Here is a 21,082-nt window from a genome sequence, read left to right as displayed (position 1 = left end):
CAGAATCTCAAGCTGGTGGGATAAGAGAATAGAGAATACGTTGGCCCTGGGAGTGCTGCCACAAAATGTGTTTGTTTAGACACTTGGGGCTCTCAGGGTTGATAGTTGCTATAGCAGCTGCCTGACACACATTGATAAAAATATAATGGTTATGTCTAAGAAGTGCCAGGTTGGGCTGATGGAAATCAAAATCTCATTAAAGTGAAACTCTGGCATGGTTTCATTTCAGTGTTCGATGGGCAGGAAGGCCCGTCTTACCTGAAGCATTACCAAATACCCATACAGATTGTTCCTGCCTGATGGCTCTTTGCCTTCTGATCCTTGCACTGTTTTTTTTTCCTTCTGTCCCTTTTCTGAATAAAAAATGATTTATGATCTTGTGTATTTCATCTTGTATAGTATTTAATTGTGTCTTCTGGGATATATGTTTGCTTTGGAGCCTTTGTCTCCAAATGTTGCTCATTACGCTGTTTTTGTTTCAAACACATTGAGCAGCCAGACTGAAATCTGAGAATACTTCAGTATTCATCTGCCTCCCATCTATACATTTGGGCTCCCAGACCTGTTTCTGATGTTATTATCTCCAAGATATACTGGGTCTGAAGTACTTTACTTAACTTCCATTTATGGAGAGGTATGTAATTAAAATTAAGAAAGTAATTTGGCCGGGTATGGTGGCTCACACCTGTAATCTCAGCACTTTGGGAGGCCGGGCCGGGTGGATCACTTGAGGACAGGAGTTTGACCAGCCTTACCAACATGATGAAATCACATCTCTACTAAAGATACAAAAATTATCTGGGCGTCGTGGCGGGCACCTGTAATCTCAGCTACTCAGGAGGCTGAGGCAGGAGATTCGCTTGAACCCTGGAGGTGGAGGTTGCAGTGAGCTGAGATCGCACCACTGCGTTCCAGCCTGGGGGACAGAGCAAGACTCTCTCTAAAAAAAAAAAAAAAAAAAAAAAAAAAACTAATTTAGCTTTTCGGTCAAGACTTAAATTATGCAGCTCTTTTACCATTACTGGTGGCTCCTAAATCTACTTCAGCAGCTTGATGGAGGCAAACAGTTGCTGGACTGGGGACTGGGTATCTGTTTTCTTCAGCCTAGATGTGTGCCTTCCCCGTGCTATGGGGAAGAGGCAGGCAGAACCACGCTCAAAACTGGAAAAGGTTGTGCTCTTTGGGAGCCTGGGCTTTAGGTGGGTTTCAAGTGTGGGAGGGGAACTGGGCCTAGAAAGTGATTCGAGGGTACAGAGTACTCTGCCCTCCATGCTTCTGGTTGATTTGCTATTTGCTTGCAAGTCTTAGTCTAGGTAACATGGTTTGAGTTCGGGCAGATGCCTGTAACTAGACAAGCTCATTCTAGTGCCAGGTAAGAGCTGCACATTAACAGCAAGATGCTGTAAAACAGGCTTGGGGAAGGACACTGGAGTCATAGCTGCCAGAGCAAGTGACAATGGCACCTTGGCAGAATGCAGTAGATGACACAGGTACCCGTGAACACAAATGGGGACAAAAGATCAAGAGAATAGATTTGAGAGAAGAAGAACCAGAGCAGAATTTAATATACTTTCCTTAACTCATCCTTGCAATAACTCTTCATCCACTTAAAAGATTTGCGGGGAGTGTCAGTTAATAAGCCAGTTGCATTGGTCTTCCCATTTTGGGGTTTGGCCAAAAGGGCCAAATAAGTGAGACTATTGTAAGGACCCTTGGCTCTTCTGGCTGTTTGCCTTCTTCCTTTTGCGGTACTTTACGTTTTTCCGGAGACCTCTTCAGACTTGTATTTTTCATCTCTTTTCTACCACTCAGGGACTTCCTTTGCTTTCTTTGTCTGTTATACTTTCTTTCCTGACACCTACTGCTTTTGGTGAAGCTTTGCCCCACTTATAGTCACCTTTCCTTATTTTATGATTAAAAGCTAAGACAGAAATGTGATATTTCAGTAAATAGGTGTATTAGTTCGTTTTCATAAGACTGGGCAATTTACAAAAGAAAGGGGTTTATTGGACTTACAGTTCCACATGGCTGAGGAGGGCTCACAATTATGGCAGAAGGCCAGGAGAAGCAAGTCACATCTTATGTGGATGGCAGCAGGCGAAGAGAGAGCTTGTGCAGAGAAACTCCCGTTTTTAAAACCATCAGATCTCGTGAGACCCATTCACCATCATGAAAACAGTGTGGGATAGACCTGCCGCATGATTCAGTCATACTCCACTGGGTCTCTCCCACAACATGTGAGAATTATGGGAGGTACAAGATGAGATTTGGGTGGGGATACAGAGCCAAACCATATCAATAGGATATCAATAGGATATCAGGAGAAAAGGAAAAACTAGCATTGTAGAATATTTCAGATAAGTGTTTATTTTTTATTTTTTTACAACTGTCTAAACAGAGTTTTTGAGTGCCAACTTCTCCCTAAAGAAAGCAGTTAGAGGCTGGGCACAGTGGCTCACGCCTGTAATCCCAGCACTTCAGGAGGCCAAGGTGGATGGATCACGAGGTCAAGAGATCAAGATCATCCAGGCCAACATGGTGGAACTCTGTCTCTACTAAAAATACAAAAATTAGCTGGGTGTGGTGGCATGCGCCTGTAGTCCCAGCTACTTGGGAGGCTGAGGCAGGAGAATCACTTGAACCTGGGAGGCGGAGGTTGCAGTGAGCCGAGATTGTGCCACTGCACTCCAGCCTAGTGACAGAGCGAGACTCCGTCTCAAAAAATAAAAATAAAAGAAAACAGTTAGATACCAAGGCGCTGGCTTTCCACTGGGAATATGTCTTAAATGGTTTCAAGTGAAAATTCAATCTTTTTGTGAATTTCAATCTTATTCTATTTTGGAAAACCATTTTATGTTTACTGAACCTGGGAAGCATGAATTCACTGTTACAGGAAGAGGAAAGACCTTGCAGGGGCCTTGTAGGTCTCAACACTCTAAGCAAGGCTTAAAATAAGGCCAAGGATAGATTAAGACAATTCCACAGTCAAACCTTTGCCCTTAAAACTGGTGTTTTTCTCTTAGTCTCCTTATGATTTTTGTTTTTATTTCCATACTGCTTTTCATGTTTTCTATTTTGCTATACAAGTTGTATTTCTTTTACCCTTCTTTAGTATTTTGGGAAGAAATATGACATATATATATAAATTCTAGTAGTGGTCATATTAAGTTTATCATAACCATTCTTTTCTTTTCTTTCTTTCTTTCTTTTTTTCTTTTTTTTGAGATACGGAGTCTCACTATGTTGCCCAGGCTGGAGTGCAGTAGCTCTTCACAGGCACAATCATAGTGCAGTCTAGCCTTGAACTTCTGGGCTCAACCAATCCTCCTGCCTCAGTCTCCTGAGAGCTGGGACTGCAGGTGTATGCCACCATACCCAGCTTCATAAGCATTCTTTAACCTATTTTTTTTGGTAGTCCTCAAAGGGATGATGCAATACTTTTTGAATCTTTTCTTTAATGATGAAGACAGGGCATACTTTAACTTCCTCTGCCCCTCTATTCTGCTTTCCAATTTTTGCTATTATGTAGGCTATTGTTATTAATATTTTAATATTAGTATAATACTTAGATAATGTATGATAATGACTAATTCTTTTTAAAAGTAATATGTGACTTTAATATTCAGTTATGTAACCATGCTTAGAAATATTATTCATAGCGGCCAGGCACAGTGGCTTATGCCTGTAATCCCAGCACTTTGGGAGGCCGAGGCGGGTGGATCACAAGGTCAGGAGTTCGAGACCAGCCTGGCCAATATGGTGAAACCCATCTCTCCAAAAAGAATACAAAATTAGCTGGGCATGGTGGTGGGCACCTGTAGTCCCAGCTACTTGGGAGGCTGAGGCAGGAGAATCACTTGAACATGGGAGGCAGAGGTTACAGTGAGCTGCAATCGTGCCACTGCACTCCAGCCTGTGCAACAAAGCAAGACTGACTCAAAAAAAAAAAAAAAAAAGTATTATTCATAGCCAATTCTGGAGCTGGGACCAGGGTGAGATGAAAGAGGCACTAGCCTTGAGTGCAAAATTCAAAAGGATGTCAAAAGTTTCAGTAGTTAAGATAAAAAGATGAAGTTCAGTAGTTAAGATAAGTAGTTATGTTTTAATGCAATATTTTTAACCAAAATTAATGCAAAAACAATTGATAATGAACAAAATATCAAAAGTTTACATAAAGACAGTGTCTTAGCATGGGCTGCTACAGTATTATAAAACACTGTAGACTGGGTGGCTTAAAGAACAAAAATTTCTCAGTTTTGGAGGCTGGAAGTTTAAGATCAAGAGTCCAGCCTGGGGCCAAAAGTTTCTGGTGAGGGCTCTCTTCATGGCTTGCTGACAGCTGTCTTCTTGCTGTGTCCACACATGGCATTTCTTTGGTGTGTGAGCCTGGAGGGCAACCGAGCTCTGGTATGTCTTCCACTTCTTTTAGCAGTGGTCTCTCTTCCTCTTTTATCAGAGACACTAATCCAATTGGATCAGGACCCTACATTTTTTATGTCATTTAACTTTATTAATGTGAAGGCCCTTTTTCAAAATATGGTCACATTGGGGTTTAGGACTTCAACATATGAATCTTGGGGGAACATAGACATTCAATCTGTAGCAGAGAGGATCTGATAGGATGGAGATTAGGGTGAAGTGAGGCTGAGTACTATAAGACTTTCTCTCTTCCTTGTTTCTTCCTTCCTTTCTCCCTTCGTCCTTTCCTTTCCCTCCTCTTCCTTTCTTTTCTTATTTCAATTTTAAAATATTGTGTTAAAATATAATTTACCTCAGCCAGGTATAGTGGTGCATGCCTGTAGTCCCAGTTATTTGAGAGGCCAAGGCAGGAGGATTTTTTGAGCCCAGGAGTTCAAGATTGTGGTATGCAGTGATCACACCTGTGAATAGCACTATACTCCAGCCTGGGCAACATAGTGGCATCCTGTCTCTTAGAAAAAATTACCCTTTATCTTGATGACTGATTTTCTTGATGCTTCCTTTTATTTTACATCTGAGGTGAATGTCTTACTTGCCTGACTGTAGTCCCAGCCCTGCTCAGCTCTGTGTTTAACTGGGTTCATTGCTTACTACCAGTTTTTTTTTTAATATATATGTATATGACATCCCCATTTCTTGAGTTCTTAATTCTGCTTCTTTTATTCATACATTGGTAAATATTTTCAAGCTGTTTTTCCTGCAAGAAGAATCATTTCTGAGTCTCTGCAGTGCTGCTGAGAGGGCACATGGTGCATAGCGTAGGAGTCTGGGTTGTGGAGCTCGGCTGCATGGGTTTTAATCTGGATTCTACCACTTACTAGTTCTTAATGCCTTTGTTTCTTCATCTGTCAAGTAGGCATGGTGGTAATATGTACGTGCCTCGTGGGTCACCATTAGGATTAGATGAGGCAATGCACAGATAGCATGTACCACAGTACTTGGCACCTGGCAAGAGCTCAATAAATGTTGGCCATTCTTACCGGGGAAAGACATTTTGGCTGGGGATGAATGTTTTCCCTCAGCTCCCCAACCCCCTCCAAATTTGTCGGTTTCTATTTACATTCTTCTGTTTGCCTGTTCATCTTTTGGCATTTAGTGTTGTCGCAAAATTCAAACTGATTTTTTTTTTTTTCCTTTAAGGCAGGTCTAATTTTTCTGCTTCCATGATTGGAAAATTTTTCTCTTGATTTTTGTTATTCAAAAATGTTGCCAAACTTCATAAACTAGGGATTCATTATACTATTCTGTCTACTTTTGTGTGTGTTTGGAATTTCAGTAATAAAAAGCCGGAGAAAATATTGCCAAGCTGCATCTAGATGTGCATTTTTTTCCCATTGATTTTGCTGGAGTGTGGTGGCTCCTTTAAGCAGCCCCCACAGTTCTCTGTTCAGCCCAGGACATGTATTTATATTTACATTTTTGTCTATCCATTGATTTGGTCTCTCTCCTTCAGGAACATGGATCCTTTATCTCTTGGATCTCTGTTGTGCATCTTCTGTATTGTCTTTCTTTTTTTTTTTTTTGAGACAGAGTCTTGCTGTGTCACCCAGGCTGGAGGGCTGGAGTGCAGTGGCATGATCTCGGCTCACTGCAACCTCTGCCTCCCGGGTTCAAGTGATTCTCGTGCCTCAGCCTCCCGAGTAGCTGGGATTACAGGTGCGTGCCACCATGCCTGGCTACTTTTTGTATTTTTAGTAGAGTCGGGGTTTCCTCATGTTAGCTAGGCTGGTCTCGAACTCCTGACCTCAGGTGATCTGCCTGCTTCGGCCTCCCAAAGTGCTGGGATTACAGGAATGAGCCACTGCACCCAGCTTTTCTCTATTGTCTTCTGCCTCATGATTGTCATCTGTGTCTTTTGCAACTGCAGATTGGTAGAGCCGCCTTATCTCAATACATTATTTATTTGACTTTCTGTGGTGTTGATTCCACTATTTCCTGTTCTCAGTTTTAATTTTAATTCTACTAATGTTGGTTTAGTTTCCTCATAATAATTCCTTGATGCATCCATCTCTCTTTTCACCTCAGCCTGTTTTCTTCTTCTGGTTTTCTGTTCTTGTTTCATAGAGGGTGCTTTGTCCTATATTTATGTGCTGAGGAAACACCTTTCCTGGTGTTTTCTCTAACACCTTATGTTAGAAATTTTACATGTATTCTTCCTCTTAGCCTTCTTGAGAATATTTTTTCCCCAAGCTCTGTACAGTCCTTTTTATTCACTCCACGTAAGAATGTTTTTTTGCCTTCGTCTCCAAATGAGACAGCTCTATCCAGCCTCCTAAACCCATGATCACTTTTTAAAAGCAGCTGAACTGATCTGAGATGGGCGTCTTTCTCATGCACCGGCTCTTTGATATTCGGAATTCATAGGGTCCACAGAAAGTTGTGTTCCCCAGCATGCATTGCCAACTTTCCTTGTCCTGTCCTGGTCTTTGTCTATCCCAAGATACAGCCTACCACTGCCAGTTCAGACTCCACTTCTTGCTCTGTGGTGCCCTAAGTTGCCATATCTGGATAATGATGGGATAGAGGGGAGGGAGACACAGAGTTGAGGTGTGGGAAGAATGGAGGGAACGTTGTCCTGATTGCCTAGGCAAGTAGATCTCTTTTCTTCCCCCTAGTGTTTTGTTTAAAGACAGGGTCTTACTGTGTTGCCTGGGCTGGAGTGCAGTGGCATGATCATGGCTTACTGCCTCAAACTCCTGGGCTCAAGTGATCTTCCCATCTCAGCCTTCCAAGTAGCTGGGACTACAGGCGTGTACAACAGTGCCTGGCTAGTTTGTTAATTTTCTGTAGAGACAGGGTCTCACTGTGTTGCCCAAACTTCTTTATCTTTTAAAAAGATTTCCTAACTGCTCTACAGGATGTTTACTGCTTGTGTAATAAAGCAAAGAATTTTCAAATAGCACCCCTCTATCTATGGAACAACTGTTTGGCATTTTAGATCTGAATCCAGTTTGAGGTTTCTGAGGCGGGAATTGGTCAGTAGGAAAGGCAAGAGGTATCTGTCCACCTCTCTTATGGCAGATTCTAGTGTCTTGAATCCTGGGCTGGTTTTCTTAGTTCAGCTCCGTCTACCTTGTTATTTGCGGATATTTCTCTCAAGTTCTGGTATTAGTGCATCTTTAGCCTTTGGTTTTAGTGTTGTGAGTTTTTACCTTTTAAAAAATAACATGAAGTGCTGCTATATGGATGCTTTTTTTGCCATTAAGAAAAAAATTGTAGTCAAATACACATAACATAAAATGCATCATCCTGACCATTTTTATGTGTACATCTCAGTACACATTCTATGTGTACACATTTTATGTGTGCATTCACATTGTTGTATAACCAATCTCCAAAACTCTTTCCATCTTGCAAAACTGGAGCTCTTTACCTTTTAAACGTTAACTCCCCATTCCCTCCCATCCACTCTCCAACCCTCAGCAACCACCATTCTATTCTATGTCTTTCTTTTGGCCGTTTTTTATTTTTTAATTTTTAGGAGGCTATAACGTGCACTCTTCTTAAAGTTTTCTGTCTCCGATTTCTTCAGCACATTCATACTGAGCGTACACTCTTTGCTAAATCATGTTCATGGTTCTGGGGACACTGCTGTGAGCAAGGGCAGTATTGTTCTTGTCCTCAAGGAGCTGACATTCCAGGGAGGAGAGACAATCAACAAGTAAATGAGTGTGCTAGTGAGTTCAGACAGTGCTAAGTCCCAGGAAGACAGCAAATGGCAATATGACAGAGAGTGCCTTTGGGGTGCTATTTTGGCCAGGGAGGTCCCAGAAGGTCTCTCTGAGCAAGTGATATTTTAGCTGACTCCTGGATCTACACAGGAGACTTCCTCCCCGATGTAGAAGGACTGGAGGAACAGCCCTCTGGGAGGAAGGAACAGAATGCACAAACACTCTAAGACTGTCATGAACTTGGCACATTTGAGAAACGGAAAAAAATACTGATGTGACTTGAGCATACTAAGCAATGGGGAGAAGAGAACAAAATGAGGCTGGGCAGGTCACAGAGCAAAGCCAGGCAGCTTAGATTTTGTTCCAATTGTAATGATAAGCCACTTGGGACCTTTATTAATTTATTTATTTTGAAACAGGGTCTTTCATTGTCACCCAGGCTGGAGGGTAGTGGTGCAATCACCGCTTACTGTAGCCTCGACCTCCTGGGCTCAATCAATCCTGTCACTTCAGCCTCTCATGTAGCTGCAACTATAGGTGCATGTCACCATGCCCAGCTAATTTTTGTATTTTCTGTAGAGACAGGGTTTTGCCATGTTCCCCAGGCTGGACTCAAAACTCCTGGGTTCAAGTGATTCACCCGCCTCAGCCGGGATCCCAAAGTGCTGGAATTACAGGTGGGAGCCACCGTGTCTGGCCCACTTGAGGCTTTTAACAGTAGAGTTATGTGACCTAACACTTGACATTAAAAAAGGATTTTTGCATAAAAATACACTTGAGTTGGCTAATACTGCATACAGCAGCACACAGGTGCATAAGCACCGCACATACACAGTGTCTTCATCTGCCTCTGACAACCAGATTCCCCTGGGGATATGTCAGGAATGTTTGGGATACCTGTAGACTTTTCTTTGAGTAATTCTAATGAAAAGGCTGACAGATAGTATTGCTTTATGGATGGAACATCTGAGACCCTGAAATGTTGAATTTTAGTTCATGAGTCATGCTGTACTTTAGCCTAATTTTTCTTTTTTTGCTTTTAGACTTAGAACAGAATCTACAGAGTGTCAGTCAACTGAGCTTGAGACTTATCTATTTTTTATTAGCTTTTTTGGAGACAGTGTCTTGCATTGTCACCAAGGCTGGAGTGCAGTGGCATGATTTGGGTTTACTACAGCCTTGACCTCCTTGGCTCAATAGATCCTCCCACCTCAGCTTCCCAAGTAGCTGGGACTACAGGCTTGTGTCACCACACCTGGCTTATTTTTATATTTTTTGTAGGGATAGGGTTTCGCCTTGTTGCTTGGGTTGATCTCCAACTCCTGGGCTCAAGCGATCCTTCTGCCTCAGCCTCCCAAAGTGCTGGGATTACAGGCATGAGCCACTGCACCCAGCTGAGACCTCTTTATTCGAATGGCAGAATTGCTATGGGGTAAAGAAATCCACCTCTGGTTACTCCTGTTTCTATTAGTAGGTGTATAAAATGTTCTACAATAATATATGACCCTTAAAAAAAATTAGAGTAAAAGTCTTTTCCCCTCCCCCGAAGGGAGTTGGTGGAGGATTCGAAAAATGGTTTTTGGTTTGCTGGATTGGTATCTGTAAAAGTGTTTCTTGCTAGAATGGAATGAGTACCTGTGTCCTTGGTGATGGGGCTTCCTGACATCTGCCACACCAAGCCACGTCTGAGGGCAGGGGTGGCATCCTGTGCTCACTTTGCAGGCATCTTTTCTGAGCCATGGCCATTGTGTCACTTAGAATTCAAACCACATTTTGAGCAGCCTATTTTTGATAGAATCTGACTTTCTATTGTGAATATTTAGAATTTTTTTTTTCTTTTTTGAGACAGAGTCTTGCTCTGTCGCCCAGGCTGGAGTGCAGTGGCGCAATCTCAGCTCACTGCAAGCTCCGCCTCCCAGGTTCACTCCATTCTCCTGCCTCAGCCTCCCGAGTAGCTGGGACTACAGGTGCCCGCCACCACGCCCAGCTAATTTTTTGTATTTTTAGTAGAGATGGAGTTTCACCGTGTTAGCCAGGATGGTCTCGATCTGACCTCATGATCTACCCGCCTCGGCCTCCCAAAGTGCTGGGATTACAGGCGTGAGCCACCGCACCTGGCCAGAAATATTTTTAAAAGTTCAAAAAAAAAAAAAAAAAAAAAAAAAACACCTTTATCTGGCTTTGGTAAATCGCAATTGTTTTTGTCCACTGTTGGGGAGTGAAACAGCCTGTGATGATTCTGATCTTGATATTATACAGAAACTAGTTCATCAACAGATGATCAGAATCTGCACTTGGTACTTCATTCAAAACAAGCCCTCTGTGTTTTACCTCATGCCCTTTTCAAGTAGGTCTCTTCATACAGTGAGTACAAATATTTCATGAGCTATAAATGTTTAATTTGGAAAATACTTGGCATCATTCTAGGTCTTTATTTCAGAAAACATCCTGGGATGGCACGGGTCCAAGTCACATTCCACAGAGCAGCTGAAAAATGGGACACTTGGCTCTTTGCCATCAGCCAGTGCCAACATAACCTGGGCAATTTTACCAAACTCTGCTGAAGACGAACAAACCTCACAGCCAGAGCCAGAGGTAAGCGTGCAGTCCTCTCAGTGCATTCATGGCTTGTGTTATCGCTTGTTCAGAAATATAGTAATTATATTTGTAACTTGCTCATCTCTTTGTTTTAAGAGGAGACAAATTAAAAAATGGAAGAATTGCCTGGAGAGACAAAATCAGCTATGTGCATGCCCGGCACTTCTCATGTTCTTGTGTCTGGCAGCTGCTGTGGGTGAATTGTGATCCTACGAATGAGGAATCTCCTATTTTCATTGAAATGGGAGTCACTTTAACTTCAAGTGGGAGAAATTCGAACAGACCCGTTAACATGGTGCCTATTGACATGATGGGAGCAGTTACAATATATTATGTCGCTCCCCTGAATAATGGCTTCTTCGTGTGGTTCCTGCTGATACAAGCTCTTGCCTCACATGCTCGACTCCTGCATGCTCCTGAGCCAGGCCGGGATCTGTGGGGCCATGGCCAACACTCCTCTTGGGCATTGAGCTGCAGCCCAGGTTCAGGCTGCCGAGGATATGCACTGCCTCGTCAGGAGAGCAGTCCTTGCAGATCCTGGTGATCAGCCAGGCTCCAACAGGCTTCATGGACTCTCTGTCATCTGCCCGCAGCCTGGCTCTCCTATTTCTGCCTCTAAGTGGCCGCTGGAGGGGAGCCAAATGCAGTGTTTCCTTTTGTCAATTTTATTTTGTGTCCTGAGTCCATTTTTGTTTTTCTTGTTCTTTTGATGCACATGATATAGTCTTGATATAGTCTCTTGAACTGGCGGAGGCCTCCTTTAACCATGCATTAGAGGTTGTTCTTAATTTCCATTGAAATCATTTTAGCCTGAAAATTGTAGAACACTTACAAAATCTATTTGATAAGGTTGAAAGCCCCAAGGCAGTGTCTTTGATCAAATGGTTTTGGTTATCAATGGAAATTTTTCTCCAAGCAGCATAGGATTATATTCTCGGACAGTGATGTAGTAGCATAACTCTTATAAAGTCAGATTAGCCTGCCTACAAATATTTCATCGGCATCTTTAAGGGGTGTTAGAAGGGTGTGAAGTGAATAGTGGCTGTGGATTTTTGAAAGGCATTTGCTCTGTATGTACAAGGAGTTTCAGGGTCAAGAAACTCATGCAGCTGATGTGTAAGTGAATCAGAAGGTAAGTTGGCAACCGTGTGAGTGGTAGAGAAGTGAGTTATTAGATCTTTAGTAATCATTTTTTAGATCCTTATTTCTAGCAGCATTCTTGGGCAAAACCTAACTGGGGCTATCACATAATCAACTTACTTATTATGGCTCATGCTATTTCTGACTTTGTAAATCCTCCTTAGTGTTTCTTCTCTGTTTTTCTGATAGGTGTTCCCTCTGACCCCCAAGGTTTGAGGCCAGGTCTGTTGTTTTTTACACAAAGTTGTTGCCCACTTTGCCTCACCAGTCAGTAGCATTGGCAAAAAAAATTAGCATACGATTATCTGTGAGAAATAACTAACTCCTGGCCGGGCGCAGTGGCTCACGCCTGTAATCCCAGCACATTGGTAGGCTGAGGCAGACGGATCACGAGGTCAGGAGTTTGAGACCAGCCTGACCAACATGGTGAAACCCCATCTCTACTAAAAATACAAAAATTAGCTGGGCGTGGTGGCACACGCCTGTAATCCCAGCTACTTGGGAGGCTGAGGCAGGAGAATCGCTTCAACCCAGGAGGCAGAGGCTGCAGTGAGCCAAGATCGCACCATTGCACTCCAGCCTGGGCAACAGAACGAGACACCATCTCAAGAAAAAAAAAAAAAAAGAAAGAAATAACTAATTCCCAAGTTCAACTTTAAAAAAATACATCCTGAAGAAGAAGAACTAGCCAGAGCTTTTTTCATTAAAGTAGAGACAGTCATTAATTTCTAGTTGTCATTTTTGCCCTTAATTGTTTTGTCAGAGCAAGTTAAGATTTTGTTTGATTCCATGTAGTAGGGAAAGTCTTATGGAGTAGAATGGTGTTTTGGTGTTTTGGTGGTTTTCTGAGAAGGGAGAGTTAGAATTCTTTGGCAAAGACTCCCCTCATTTTTTCTAGTGAGTGCTACGGCAGATGATTCTCAAAACCCAAACAGCTAGTAGAGCTTGGACACTATTTTTCTTCTTAGGCCATTGTGCTTTGCCACATTTTTTGTCTTAATAGTTAAAAAAACTAGCGACATCCACACAATAGTTTTTCTGTCAGAAAAAAAAATGTTGCTGTTGCCTCCTTTCTGTACATTGTGGAGGAATAACTTCTATATAGAATGAAGTGAAATTCCTAAAGGTTAAGAATGCCTTATGAGCAGGTCCTTAATGCTTTTGATCTAGAGGATATAGTTACTTATGTGAGTGATCATTGGGAAACTAACTTTCAGAATTGTGGTTATTATGGTCGTGTAACTAAATTAACTATTGTCTTCTGGTTTACCGTTTAGAACATGTTAGGTCTTTGGGGGGATAAGTGGGGTACCAAAGGTAGCTCCCCTCTGCTGGTTCTGGCTTCCCATAAAATAACCTACATCTGAAACAGTAACGCATTTTGAAGCTTAGTCTGTTTAATTCCCTGCAGAATAAAAGCTCAAAGAGCTGTACATATTTAATACGTGAGTTAGAAGAGAGCTGTGGTCGGCTCTGTTATAAAATGTAGTGATCTTAGAATTTTATTCTGCTGGGGCTAGAACTAACTAAATGTGAAAATGAAATATTCTTCTATAATGAAATGAGTTAGGATCTTGGTTTTACCTATTAGTAAAACAATTTTTTCAACAAAAAACACCATCTGAAATGTAAATCAAGATAGAAAAAGGTTTTCCGTGTGTCGCTTCATCATGTATGCCTTACTTTAGGACAAGAAGGATGGTGATTGGAGTAGAGACTGTGGACCAAGCTCTCTTGACTTTTTCTTTTTTTTTTTCCCCCTTTTTTTGGAGATTTTTTTTTTGCTCTGTGGCCAGGCTGGAGTACAGTGGCGTGATCGATCTCAGCTCACTGCAACCTCCGCCTCCCGGGTTCAAGCGATTCTCATGCCTCAGCCTCCTGAGTAGCTGGGATTACAGGCAGGCGCCATCACACTCAGCTAATTTTTGTATCTTTAGTAGAGACGGGGTTTCACCATGTTGGTCAGCATGATCTCGATCTCCTGACCTCGTGATCTGCCTGCCTTGACCTCCCAAAGTGTTGGGATTACAGGCGTGAGCCACCGTGCCCGGCCACTCTCTTAACTTTCTTTCCACTTTCTCGATTGGAGAGATTGGAAACAGCTACATGTCCCAGACTTTCTTACAGTTGGAGTTCTGAACACGTTACTGGGAGATGCATTTGTGTGAGATTTGGAGACCAAGTTCCTCCTGCTCGTGCTGCTGGCAGGCAGTGGCATGGAGGTTGGAGTGTTTAGAGGCAGTTGTGGTGTTGTGGTGGCCACACTTAGAGTTCCAGGCCTTAGTCCCACCTACCTGGGTGCGGGAATCTGTTGTGGCAAGAGCAGCAGCTTCCTGACCTCTGAATCACGGCCACCTACAATGTTGTGACCTTGAACTTAAAAGTCTAAGGTGCCGGCTGGGCGTGGTGGCTCATGCCGGTAATCCCAGCACTTTGGGTGGTTGAGGTGGGTGGATCATGAGGTCAGGAGTTTGAGACCAGCCTGACCAACATGGTAAAACCCCATCTCTATTAAAAATACAAAAATGAGCTGGGCGTGGTGGCGTGCGCCTGTAATCCCAGTTACAAAGAAGCTGAGGCAGGAGAATTGCTTGAACCTGGGAGGCAGAGGTTGCAGTGAGCCGAGATTGTGCCACTCCACTCCAGCCTGGGCGACAGAGTAAGACTCTGTCTCCTCCAAAAAAGAAAAGTCTAAGGGGCCCCTGATGTCTGCTCCTCCAGCCTTTTTAATAATTCTACAGGCACCTAATTCCCATATCAAATTCCTTTCTGACTGTAACACCTGGAGTGGTTTCTGTTTCTGCACCCACTGTGACTGGTTGGGCTCTTGGCACAGGAGGGAACAGGAGAGCCCAGGGCAATGAGATAAACCCATCCTGAATGACAGAGCTCACACGTGACCATGTACACTCACCTTCTAGAGGACATATCTGAGCAACAAAACCTTAACTGTTTTTTAAAAGTCAGGTTTATTGAGGCGTAATTCACAAACAATATAATTCACCATTTTAAAATGCAAGGTTCTCAGTTTTAACAAATCAAAGTAGTATCCCTAATCCAAATCTAATTCAAAATCTGAATTAGATCTGAATTAAATCTGAATCCCTAATTCAAAATCTAAAATGCTCCCAAATCCAAAACTTTTTAAAGGCCGACATGACACTCAAAGGAAATGCTCCTTGGAGTATTTTGGATTTCAGATTTTTGGATTTGGGATGCTCAACCGGTATAATGCAAAACTTCCAACTTCCAAAAAAATTCAAAATCCAAAACACTTTTTCTCCCAGGCATTTCAGGTGAGGGATACTCAACCTGTATAGAACAGTTCTATTGCCCCCAGATTCCCTCATGCCCCTTTATAATCAAATCTGTCCCCCAGCCCTTGGCAACCATTGATCTGTTATTTGTCCCTATAGTTTTGTCTTTCCCGGAATGTCATATATATATGGAATCATGCAGGAGGGCTTCTTTCACATAGCATAATGCATTTGAGATTCATCCATGTTATGTGAATCATTCTAAGGCATTCCTTTTGCATTCCTTTTGCATTGAATAGTATGTATGGGATCTACAGATTATCCGTTTACTAGTTGAAGAGCATTTGATAACTTTAAATTTCTCATATTTTTTATGGGTAAAATGGAAAGGGGGAGCAATGAAAAATAATGTTGTGTTAATTATTTGAGGGTAAATATCTGGTGCCAGATACCTACCCCTGGCCTTAGGACAATCAGGACTATCAGTCCCACCCCTGGAGACTAAGCAGAGGGTTTTTAAGCCTGTTCCTCAATAGCATACTGTCAACTCCTATCAACCCCTGTGTTGACTGTCTCAGTTAGCAGCTTTGCCTAGTTAGTCATCTGGATTACAGTGGCAACAATGCTATCAAGAGACCACATACCCTATACCACCACAAATCTAGCAGGCGTAGAAAAACTTATAATATCTTTATGTACTGAGTACTATATCAGCATATAAGTTAGCTAAATGGACTTTGGTTAAAAAATTGCATAATTGAATTTTCAAGTAAACATGTCCTAATCATCCTTTCCCAAAAGAAGAAAAATTGTTTTAAGAATAAGGGAAGGAGACTGATATAAAAGATTTAGCTGAGTTCTGCGTCAAGAATTTTCATGCTTTTGATTGAATGGTCATTATAGCACTGAACTTTTGAACTACTTAACAAGCCATAAAGCTGTCCATCTGAAATCCTCTGATGTTCAGCTTGAAGCCTGGCCAGTACAATCCCCTCAACACATTTTTATCATTTTTTTAAATTTTTCATCCCCATGATACATAAAGGTATAGGTAGATGTTGGTTGGGGATGTATCCGGTGTGGGATGGTGATAGATTTTTAGAGATGAACAAGGTTAATATGTTGTTTTGATCCTTTAAATAATTATTTTAAAGTTTCAATCTTATAAGTTTGTTTGAAACAGGTGGCACATATTTATTTGTGGTCAACAGTTTGAAGAGTGAGGTATAGCTATCACTGACTTATGATGATTGAAAATCACTTTATTGAATCCTGTGATAACCTCACAGAGTTTAACTCCAAATGGTTGCTGCATAGGAAATATCATTGATCAAGTTTAAAATTTGTTATAAGTAAATTTCGTGGGTGATAGGATTATCCTTCCCCACTCCATTCCTCATCTCTCATCATCAAACAGACTACATCTCCTTCCAAGAATCTGTAGAATAGACCTTTTTTTTTTTCCTTTGAATCATGACCTTTGATTCACTAAATCTTAGAATAGTCTTTAGGAGTCAAATGGCCATTCCTCAAACTCGAGTGGTTGTTTAACTTGCCAAGCATCACAGAACTTAGGTTGACGCAAAATTGATATGTGGACTTCCTTTCTCCCAAGCTAGTGCTCTTTCCTTCATACTACACTATCTCCTATATTGGATAGGATTCTTTCAGATGCAAATAACAGGAAACCCTACAATTAATAGCTCAAATAGTAATAAATTTAAGCCTGGGTATGGTGGCTTATACCTGTAGTCCCAGCATTTTAGGAGGTCAAAGCAGGAGGATCACTTGAGGCGAGGAGGTCAAGACCAACCTGGGCAAGATAGACCCTGTCTCTACAAAAAAATATAAAAATTAGCTGGGTACGTGCCGATGGTCCCAGCTACTTGGGAGGCTGAGGTGAGAGGATTCCTTGAGCCTGGGAGGTTGAAGCTGCAGTGGGCTGTGATCACACCACTGCATTTGAACCTTGGTGACAGAGTGAGATCCAGTCTCAGCAAATAATAATAATAATAATAATAATAAATTTTTGCACAAAAGAATTCTGGGAGTAGGTGGTTCCAGGTGTGGTGCAGCAACTCATGATGGCCTCAAAGATACAAGTTTCTTCCATTCCTCCTCCTGTTTATCCTTATGCTTGTCACTTCATTGTGGCAGCATCATAGCTGTAGTCCCAAATATTGCATCCTCATGACATATCCTTTAAAAGAAAGGATGGGAGCTCTTCTCAAGATACTTTCTGAGGTCAGGTGCGGTGGCTCACGCCTGTAATTCCAGCACTTTGGGTGGCCGAGGCAGGCGGATCATGAGGTCGGGAGATCGAGACCGTCCTGGCCAACATGGTGAAACCTGTTTCTACTAAAAATACAAAAATTAGCTGGGCATGGTGGTGGGTGCCTACAATCCCAGCTACTTGGGAGGCTGAGGAGGGGGAATCGCTTGAACCTGGGAGGCGGAGGTTGCAGTGAGCAGAGATCGTGCCACTGCACTCCAGCCTGTCAACAGAGCGAGACTCTGTCTCCACAAAATAAAATAAAAAAAAAAAATTAAAAAGACACTTTTTGTTTGGGAAGCGAAGCCCCTTAGTACACTCCCCCTGTTATCTCACAGCCAGAACTAGATCACATACCTACTCCAAGTCCTGTAACTGGTGGTGGGTCACTGGATTTTCATGAGTCACCCTCCCCGGCTGTGGAGTGTGCCTTACCTGAGATCAAAGGGATCTCAGATCCCAGAGAGACCAGAACTGGGCTTTTGTCAGCAAGAGAAAATACAGTATTGGCTTTTGGGTCATAATAGATTGTGTCTGCTATACCCCGATGTACCCCAAGCAGGTTTTCTTCATGTAGTGGTCATCTTCAGCCCCACAAGACTTTTCTGACCTGGCAGTTTCATCTCATAGACTTAATTCTTTGAGGGAAGACACCATGTGTGATTCTTCTCTGGAAACTCCAGAGTATTTAGGAAAGTACGATGCATGTAGCAGATACTCTTAAGTACGTAATGAATGAATGTGAACGATGAGGTTCATTGGTAGTATTCATGACTAAAGGGCATGCTTCCTTCTCGTTCTCATCTCTGTTCTGTGCTCTTCCCTGTGGCTTCCGGGAGTTCCAGTAGAAGTAAATTTAACCTGTTGAGTGACATATGACTTACATATGCTGCTGTGATGAAAGATTCATCCATGGTCAGCGTCCTGGAGCTCTCCAGGCAGAAGATGCTTCTATGAATTGGTTCATTCCTCATCTGTGGCCTTGATTGCTATCTAACAGGTGCTAAGTGGTTGTAGTTATACATGGAATTATTTTGTGTGAGGGTCTCTCATCATGGGATAGAATTCTTATTATAATCTTTTAGAAGAGCTGCTGAAGACATTCCATTTAGATCCTCACACTAAAGGAATGAACAATGATTTGATCATCCGGGTTTTTTCTTTTTCTCTTCTGGCTGTTGTTGGTCTGGGGGGAAAGTAGTTCATCCTTTAGGCAAATGTAGAAGATATGCCTTCTAGCTATCAGACCCTTAGGACTCACTAAAAATCAGAAAGAGCCATAATGTTGTTATGCTTAAAAATATACTGCTCCCTCAATTAGTTCGTTCTGTGTTCCAGTATAGTTAAACAGTGATGATTCATCTATGCAATTATTTTATTCACTCAACAGATATTGAGCTCTTATTATATAGTGGGCATTGAATGGAGCCCTTCCTTAGTTTAGCAGATTTTCATAACCCAGTTTATTAGCTCTGTACATGTTTCATAATAGTTATAATTATTCTGTATTCATGAGATTAGAAGCAAGAGAAATGTCTCTTAACCAAGTGACGTTTCCAAGGTTAGTACCCTAAGACTGTGTAGGTCCTGGTGCCGTGTGGCTGTGGGTTTACCTATGGCCTGCAGCAATTGAGATGACCATCTGTGAGATGACGTGGAATTTGAAGATGTGCTTCTATGGTTATCTCATAGGCTATACTGCCTCCTGTGGTTAAGAGCTCCTCCTGTCTGTCTTGCAAAACAGCATCTTTCTGCCCTCCTTCCTTCTCAATCTTAGCAACTCACAACGTAATCATCACACACAAACCTAAACCCTGCACACATTTTTTAAGAACTTGTTGGACTTGGTTTCTGGCAGCTTTCATGAGCTGTCTGAGTACAAGGCATGATAGTATATTTTTCTGTGCAGTTTTGGGGGATTAATTTCAGCTTATGCTCGTTTTTCAAGGATTTTTTTTCTTTCCTCCATTGCTTTTCTCCTCCTCTCTTCCTTTTTTGTGGGTGATAATAAGGTTTTGCTTCTTGGGTGGGTGTTGTTTTTATAAGAGAGGAGGTGAATATAGTGGAAGGTCCGAAATCATGCCTTTGCTATGGCCAGTAGGATATGTGCTGGGGCTTTTAATGGGTTTCGACACTGGACTGAGAGAGTCTTTGGGAGCGGCCTTAGGAGTGTTCACAGTATTGCCTTCCTTCTCTCCCCTCCCACCAGGCCTGTGTGGCTTTGTGATGTAAACACCCACCAGAGTGCTGGGGAGGTAGCCACCTTGGATTTGCCAACTGTGAGCTGGAGCCATATAAAAAAGCTCAGCACCGAGTGGTATAATCTCTCCTATCCTGCAGCAGTACTCAAAGAATTAAGCGCTTTGAAACTGGTGAATGAAAAGGGCTTAAAGCACTGCAGTGTTTAGTCTGAGTTTTCCCTCCTCCTTCCCCTTTTCTCTTTTCCGTTCATTTTTGTTGCCACAAAGGGAAAAAGTCAGATCTGAACCAGAGGTGAAGAGTTGAAGAGATTGTAGCGATGTGGTATGAAAAGTTTTAGTATTCTGTTGTTTGGGGTATTTAGTCTCACCCTCTAAACATGGCCCTAAATTTCACAGCTCCCTTGCTTCCTTCTCACTTGCCTAGTTCTATGAAATTATACCAGTATAAATGAGCTTTTCACCATCTGCCTGGCTTATATTTTTATTTTCCCACGATGAATGACTATTCTAAAAGTGATTTATTTTCTGGCCCTGATGATGCTCGCCTTCTAAAGATGGAAAGTCAACGCTCAGAGATTTATGATCTTGGAGAAAGAATGTTATGGAAGAAAAGAGTAAAATATTTCTCACATTTACTTTGGGCTTTGCCTGAGTTAATCGATGAGTTCTTGTATCCCTTTTGTAATTTGAATTGAGTTTTGTAGATGGCTTATGGCTCTATGCATTGCAGGGGCTTACTGTGTGCTAAATAATTGTAAATTTAAAATTTTTTTTGGTACTGATGATGGATGTGAGCAACTAGAGGGAAAGGGGTGTGTGTGTGTGTGTGTGTGTGTGTGTGTGTAAGAAACAGAGCAAGTGAGTAAGCCATAGAATTGTCTTTAAGTTCTGGCAGTGTTTTTCAGATCTTATGGATGTAGGACTCAAATGGCCATTCTGTAATACTTGAAAGTACTGTACCAGCAGCTGTTTGGCTATCCATCCTGTCCCCAGCCACCCCGGGACCATAGCCTTCCTCACCCCTAAAGATACTGGAGCAGCCCTGGCCAAGGCCGTGGACTCCATGAGGTGCCCAGTGGAGTTGGGTGTCATGCGGTGCTCTGTCACCACTGTCTTTTCTCTCTCTCAGATAACAGTGTGCTCCTGTCCCTCCCAATCTCCATCCTTTTCTCTGTCATTCACCATCCACAGCCAGCTAAGCCTGTGCTGGACAGTCCTCATGTCACATAAAGTTCTCTCTATTGGCTGTAGTGGTCCCATTAAATGACCACATTACTAATAAGTATAAGAAGAGTGGTGGACATACAGCCATGCGAAGGAGAAGGAAACTCTAACTTTTTTGGAAATGAAATTAAATGCAGTTGAGAACAGTGTATCAATCCTTAAAACCATGGGAGTGCTCTTTAGATTGCTCCAAATCTCCATTCACATTTTTCTTGATCATCTCATCAGAACTGCTTTTCT

The 21,082-nt window shown here is 42.2% G+C and overlaps 1 protein-coding gene across 16 annotated transcripts in view; it reads left to right on the top strand.

Moving 5' to 3' along the window:
- OSBPL10 (oxysterol binding protein like 10) overlaps positions 1-21,082 on the top strand; it is a 416,868-nt gene that overhangs the window by 333,691 nt on the left and 62,095 nt on the right. For all 16 annotated transcript variants that reach the window (XM_047447390.1, XM_047447386.1, XM_047447391.1 and 13 more), the window contains one exon: positions 10,591-10,745. In XM_047447390.1, the coding sequence (XP_047303346.1) occupies positions 10,591-10,745 (155 nt within the window). The remainder of the gene's footprint in view (positions 1-10,590; positions 10,746-21,082) is intronic.

Source organism: Homo sapiens, chromosome 3 (genome assembly GCF_000001405.40).
Source record: "Homo sapiens chromosome 3, GRCh38.p14 Primary Assembly".
Taxonomy (NCBI): Eukaryota; Metazoa; Chordata; class Mammalia; order Primates; family Hominidae; genus Homo; species Homo sapiens.
The sequence above is the reverse complement of the archived record's forward strand: the minus strand, read 5'-3'. Positions and strand labels throughout refer to the sequence as shown.